The following is a 6,243-nucleotide window of genomic DNA, read 5'->3' on the forward strand; positions in this document are numbered from 1 at the left end:
TCTCCCCTATTTCACTGTGGCGATGTCTAGAGTAGCCTGAGAGTTGGGGTGCAGTATCCCAGGTTCACTCAATCTCTCCCCTTTTCCTCTCTGTGTTTCCTTCGGCTGTGCTCCCTGGTGGTGGCGGCGGTGGCAATGTTGGTGTGTGGGCCTCCCAGGACAAAGAGAAAGTGAGTGTGCCCTTCTCTTGCCTCCTGCCAGGCATCTGCAGCCTGGCACCAGCTCCAGCCAGGTTTTCAAGCAAGGGACCTGGAGATGTTCTTTTCTAATTTCTGGATTGGGGCCAGGCGCAGTGGCTCACACCTGTAAACCCAACACTTTGGGAGGCCGAGGTGGGCGGATCACAAGGTCAGGAGTTCGAGACCAGCCTGGCCAACACGGTGAAACCCCACCTCTACTAAAAATACAAAAATTAGCCAGGCATGGTGGTGCGCGCCTGTAATCCCAGCTACTCAGGAGGCTGAGGCAGGAGAATCGCTTGAACCCAGGAGGAGGTTGCAATGAGCCAATACAGCACCACTGCACTCCAGCCTGGGTGACAAAGCAAGACTTTCTCAAAATAATAATAATAATAATTTCTGGATTGGGAAATTGAGGCAAATTCTAGGCACTAGAGTCAGAACCAAGACAAGGCTGAATCAGGGGAGTCTAGGGTCCTGAGAGGCACAGGGATGCGGAGCCAGGTATGTATTCAGGCCAGTCGCTTCTCTCTGTGCCTCAATATTCTGGGTACCCTTGGAGGGGCTGAGATCCTGGGGATGCCTGGAGCCTGGCTGCATGGCCTGGCCACCTGATGCCCTTGTGTTCTCCATGGCAGGCCAGCGAGACCGAGGAGAATGGCTCCGACAGCTTCATGCATTCCATGGACCCACAGCTGGAACGGCAAGTGGAGACCATCCGGAATCTTGTGGACTCATACATGGCCATTGTCAACAAGACCGTGAGGGACCTCATGCCCAAGACCATCATGCACCTCATGATTAACAATGTGCGTGCTCCACTGCATGGGGGCAGGGAAATCCTGTGGCACTGGGGATGCAGGTGGCCATGTTGGCCTGGGGGAGATGCCAACCAGCCCTATGGGACCAGGTCCAGGGAGGGAGGCACGGTCCAGACCAGAGCTGTCCAATAGAAATATCATGAGGGGCTGGGCGCGGTGGCTCACACCTGTAATCCCAGCACTTTGGGAGGCCAAGGCAGGTGGATCACGTGAGGTCAGGAGTTTAAGACCAGCCTGGCCAACATGGTGAAACCCCATCTCTACTAAAAATAGAACAATTAGCCAGGTGTGGTAGCGTGAGCCTGTAATTGCAGCTACTCGGGAGGCTGAGGCAGGAGAATCACTTGAACCCAGGAGGCGGAGGTTGCAGTGAACCGAGATCCTGCCACTGCACTCCAGCCTGGCCGACAGAGCGAGACTCCATCTCAAAAAAAAAAAAAAAGAAGAAGAAATATAATGAGGGGCTGTGCACGGTGGCTCATGCCTGTAATCCCAGCACTTTGGGAGGACAAGGCAGGAGGATCACTTGAGCCCAGGAGTTCAAGACCAGCTTGGGCAACACAGTGAGACTTTGTCTCTACACAAAAATTTTAAAGAATAGCGGGGGTTGGCCGGGCGCGGTAGTTCATGCCTGTAATCCCAGCACTTTGGGAGGCCGAGGTGCGCAGATCACCTGAAGTTGGGATTTTGAGACCAGCCTGACCAACATGGAGAAACCCCATCTCTATTAAAAATACAAAATTAGCCGGGCGTGGTGGCACATGCCTGTAATCCCAGCTACTCAGGAGGCTGAGGCAGGAGAATTGCTTGAACCCGGGAGGCGGAGGTTGCGGTGAGCTGAGATTGTGCCATTACACTCCAGCGTGGGTAACAAGAGTGAAACTCCGTCTCAAAAAAAAAAAAAAGAATAGCTGGGGTTGGTGGTAGCACGTGCCTGTAGTCCTAGCTACTGGAGAGGCTGACATTGGAAGATAACTTTGAGCCCAGGAGGTTGAGGCTACAGTGAGTGGTAATCTCCCCACTGTACTCCAGCCTGGTGAAAGAGCGAGACCCTATCTCCAGGAAGAAGAAAAAAAAAAACAACTGAGTAGACAAGAGTTCTGGTGGCATGATAGGTCCTAAGTCCCCTCCCGGTTCTGTGACCTTGGTCAGATGACTTTTCCTGTGGACCTCAGTGTCCTCATCTGAGTGAGAAAAGCGCGGTGGGGAGGTGAATCTTCCAGTCTACGCAGTGTAGGAGCCGCGTCTGAAAAGCCACACCAGCTCACAGTCCCAGCAGGGCCCGGTGGGGCGGCCAGGGCGGCACAGGCATCAGGTCCCCACCTCCTTCCCTCTTTGCCTACTCGCAGACCAAGGAGTTCATCTTCTCGGAGCTGCTGGCCAACCTGTACTCGTGTGGGGACCAGAACACGCTGATGGAGGAGTCGGCGGAGCAGGCACAGCGGCGCGACGAGATGCTGCGCATGTACCACGCACTGAAGGAGGCGCTCAGCATCATCGGCGACATCAACACGACCACCGTCAGCACGCCCATGCCCCCGCCCGTGGACGACTCCTGGCTGCAGGTGCAGAGCGTACCGGCCGGACGCAGGTACCAGGGCCGGCCCCCACGGCCCCAAAGCCCCCCAGCCCGGGGCCCGCGGGAGGAATGCCGGGACCGGGCAGTGGCGCGCCCGCGTCACCGGGGTGGCTCCCACCTGGAGCGAGGGGCGGAGCTTAGAGAGGGCGGGGCTTGTCGCGGGGCGGGGCTTGCCGTGGAGAGCTGGCTGCAAGGCTGGGTGGAGCTGGGGCGTTGGCGCCGCTGGGGGCGGGGCTTAAGCTCCGGCGACCGCCTTAGGGGTGCGGCAGGGAGGGGCTTGCGTGCATGGGCGTGGCCAGCACTGGGCTGGGGCGGGGCCTCTGGGTGGGCGGAGCTGCTCATCTCGCCTCTCCTTGTTCCTCGCTCCCTGTCGCCCTCAGGTCGCCCACGTCCAGCCCCACGCCGCAGCGCCGAGCCCCCGCCGTGCCCCCAGCCCGGCCCGGGTCGCGGGGCCCTGCTCCTGGGCCTCCGCCTGCTGGGTCCGCCCTGGGGGGGGCGCCCCCCGTGCCCTCCAGGCCGGGGGCTTCCCCTGACCCTTTCGGCCCTCCCCCTCAGGTGCCCTCGCGCCCCAACCGCGCCCCGCCCGGGGTCCCCAGGTGAGTAGGGGCTGAATGCGGCTGGAGAGGCTGCCGGACGGGCGTGGCCGGGAGGGAAATGGGGCTGGATTCCAGAGCATCGGACCTGGCCGCCAGAACCGGCCGTTTCTATCCCAGGCAATCGGACTCTGGGTGCCGGAGCCACGCCACGTGTGGCCGAGGGCTGGCGGAGCCTGCCCCCGAGGGAGCGCTGAGTCCCGGAGGTGGTCGTTTCTGGGGAGGGGGCTGTGGGGCTCGTCCCACCTGCCCCCTTCTTTCCAGCACTTGCATGGCGCTTCCCTCTATTTTCACTCTTGGCGGCCGCCCACACGTTGCATTCCTCCTCCTTTCTTCTTCTTGCTGTCCTCCATCCTCCATTCCGTCCAATTCCTCTCCCAGCCCCTGGGGAGCCTACCTTAGGTCTGACTCTGAACCCCGATCTGCTCTGAGTGTGTGGATTTCCTTCAGCTACCCTGATGTCCCCACTTCCCAGCCCTGACTCCTTTGAGCCATCCCAGGGGGTGTCCAGCCACTGGCCCACAGGAGCAGAGGCCAGGCTGTGACTGTGTGACTAGAAAGGTGTGTGATGTGTGTGTGGGCGTGCACACGAGTGTGAGAGTGTAAGCATGGCACCCAGGCCCGGGCTAGGACAGGAGCAGCTGGGGAAGCAGCCTGGGCCGTGGGCAAACTGATGGCTTTTTTCCTCCCCCCAACCACCCCCTCCGCGACTTCTGGCCCTACCCAGTCTAAACCAATGTGGTAGGGGTGGCGGCAGGGGCAGGGATGGGAGTGCTTGAAGCCTGCTTCATTCCCAAAGATTTCTAGGGAAAAGCTTTCTACTACATCCTTTGGCTTGACCTTCTTGACCCATGACTCTCTTTCAAGGAAGTTCACTCCAATTCCCAGTCTGCCCTGTTTCCACTGGCCACATTCTCTAAGGAAGAACACAGCAGAACAATAGCATCTGTTTTGTTTCTGCATGGCTGGAGGGTAGGGCTGTCGGTCTAGCACCCATAAACCAAAATGAGGCAGGGATTGGGGCTTGCCCTATGATGCTCTGATGACCAAAGCAGATGCGTAGAGGCAAGCAGCATGGTATTGGGCAAGAGGACTGGACTGGGAGTCCAGAGATGCTGCTTCACCCTGGGCCTTTAGACACGTCTCTTTCCCTCCCAGAGCCTCAGCATCCCTTCTATCAAATGATGACATTCTGCCTTTTTCCCAGGGCGGTTGTGGGGATCGAGGGAGACAGTGGCTATAGGGATGCTGTGTTAACTGCAGATGCAGCCGTAGGAGCACTTTGCTAACTGCCAACGTGAGTTCAGATTCTTCAGGGTATTTGGCACCCAGGTCTATGGTGCGGTGTGAGATCTGTGATGTAAGGTTTGATGCCTGCCCCAACTCCAGTCTTGCTAACACACATGAAACATTTGGCAAATCATGACCCTACCTTGGGGAAAAGAGCAGTCTGGGAGAGCTTCTTCAAGGCAACCTGACTTCAGTGCAGTCTGAGGCATGGCTGAGATAGGCTTACGTGGCAAGGAATCAGGAGGGTATCTGGGCCAAGAGCTGCAGTGTGGGCAGAGGTGTAGTGTGGGCTGCAACGAGGACAGCCACTGGACAAAGCAGAGAACAGAGACAGAATGAGGAAGAGCTCTGTGGGCAGGGTGGGGCGCAAGGTGGAGAACCTTCAAAGTCTGAAAAGTTTGACTTGTTGGGGCTCAATGCTGTGGGCAGTAGGGAACCACAGAAGGCTCTTAGGTGGAGAAATGACAGCTGGACTTTAGCGAGCAAGCCCTATCTCCATGAGCAGCACGGGTGATCCTCTAAGCACACCAGGCACGAGTGTGCAGGGAGCTGGTGCAAATGCCTCTGTGTGCGGGTGAGCTTCTGTGTTGTGACTCTGCCCACACGTGTGCTTCAGTGTGCTGAGTGGCTGCATGCCCCAGATCCATGCTGCACGCGCCGCCGGCCAGTGAGGGTGCTGGGCACTGGGAGGTGGCGGGGAAGGAGGCGTATGCGTGTTGTTTGTGGGCATGTGTGTTAGCGTGTGCATGTGGGCCATGGGGCCTCACAGCATGTGTGTGCACGCCCGGGCGTGTGCGTGTGTGTGTCCCCCACCCCCAGGCCGGCCCCACCCGTGCGTGTGAACTGCCATGTTGATTTCGTGCTGTCTTTCAGAATCACTATCAGTGACCCCTGAGGAGCGTCAGCCATGGTAGGTACATGCCTCACCGCCTGCTGCATGAACGGTGTGTCTGCCCCGCTGCACTAGCTCCACACGGGGCGCGCACCTGGGACCTCAGAGCCAGGCTCCCCGCCCCTCCCTTCTGCAGCTGCAGACTTGCTCTTTCCTCTTTCTGTCCTTGTGCCGCTGGCTCTCTCACCTCCCTTCCCTGCGAGCCTCGGGACTCAGTGCCACTGCCCAAGGCCTCCATGGCTGAGCCTGGAGGCTCTTGGAACAGGCTCCGCGCCCAAGCTGGCAGACATGGGTGCTCTCTGGAGCCGTCAGAGAGGGCAGAGAGCTCGTGGTTTATGGTGTAAAGGCTGGGAGCTTGGAGGGGGTCGTGTGTGGGGCTGGACTCTGAGGCGGCCAGAGGCCTAGGAACGTTATCCTGGGCACACCGTGCGTGGTGTGCAGTCTGAGTCATGCTCCCTGGGTAGGGCATCCAGCTCCCAGCCTGGGAGTGCTGAGAGCCAAATCCACCGTAGAGCAGGGGTGAGAGTCAGGGTCCCACCTCCTCTATCTGCCGGCAATCCAGTGGTGACCTAGGGTAAAAGCTTGAGAGTCCCATACACACGGTCATCCCACGACATACCTCACAGGCCAGGCAGGGACACACAGCCCCCTTCCCTCCCTCCCAGGTACCGTCATAGCTGCTAGTGTGACTGAAGGCAGTGTCCCTGGCCCCAGCTGAAGCACCGTAGCCAGCCAGCGGGCTCACGCACCTTGGCCTGTTGCTCCTAGGGTCACTTGTGCCATTCAGCCAAGGGGACGACCGTGCCTGCTGGCCCAGCTGAGCTCCGCCCAGTGAGCCCACCCCCCATTCTCCTGCCACTGACTCTCGCTCTTCTGCTTTTCCCAGCAG

General features: G+C 59.1%; 1 protein-coding gene across 6 annotated transcripts in view, besides 3 other annotated features; it reads left to right on the forward strand.

The window, feature by feature from the left end:
- The window catches only part of DNM1 (dynamin 1), a 51,866-nt gene that overhangs the window by 44,387 nt on the left and 1,236 nt on the right, over positions 1–6,243 (forward strand). For 3 of the 6 annotated variants that reach the window (NM_001005336.3, NM_001288738.2, NM_001288737.2), the window contains exons 18-22: positions 159–170; positions 818–988; positions 2,350–2,591; positions 2,960–3,175; positions 5,336–5,372. In NM_001005336.3, the coding sequence (NP_001005336.1) occupies positions 159–170; positions 818–988; positions 2,350–2,591; positions 2,960–3,175; positions 5,336–5,357 (663 nt within the window). In that variant the 3' untranslated portion in view covers positions 5,358–5,372. The remainder of the gene's footprint in view (positions 1–158; positions 171–817; positions 989–2,349; positions 2,592–2,959; positions 3,176–5,335; positions 5,373–6,243) is intronic. The other 3 variants (NM_001374269.1, NM_004408.4, NM_001288739.2) reach the window with 1 other exon arrangement.
- Positions 2,222–2,361: an enhancer, noted in NCBI's record as "active region_29075". NCBI's record gives its function as "activates an Ori minimal core promoter by ATAC-STARR-seq in GM12878 lymphoblastoid cells {active_cell/tissue: GM12878}" and the evidence as "EXISTENCE:reporter gene assay evidence [ECO:0000049][PMID:35858748]".
- Positions 2,532–3,031: a silencer, noted in NCBI's record as "silent region_20332". NCBI's record gives its function as "represses an Ori minimal core promoter by ATAC-STARR-seq in GM12878 lymphoblastoid cells {active_cell/tissue: GM12878}" and the evidence as "EXISTENCE:reporter gene assay evidence [ECO:0000049][PMID:35858748]".
- Positions 3,042–3,131: a silencer, noted in NCBI's record as "silent region_20333". NCBI's record gives its function as "represses an Ori minimal core promoter by ATAC-STARR-seq in GM12878 lymphoblastoid cells {active_cell/tissue: GM12878}" and the evidence as "EXISTENCE:reporter gene assay evidence [ECO:0000049][PMID:35858748]".

Source organism: Homo sapiens, chromosome 9 (genome assembly GCF_000001405.40).
Source record: "Homo sapiens chromosome 9, GRCh38.p14 Primary Assembly".
Taxonomy (NCBI): Eukaryota; Metazoa; Chordata; class Mammalia; order Primates; family Hominidae; genus Homo; species Homo sapiens.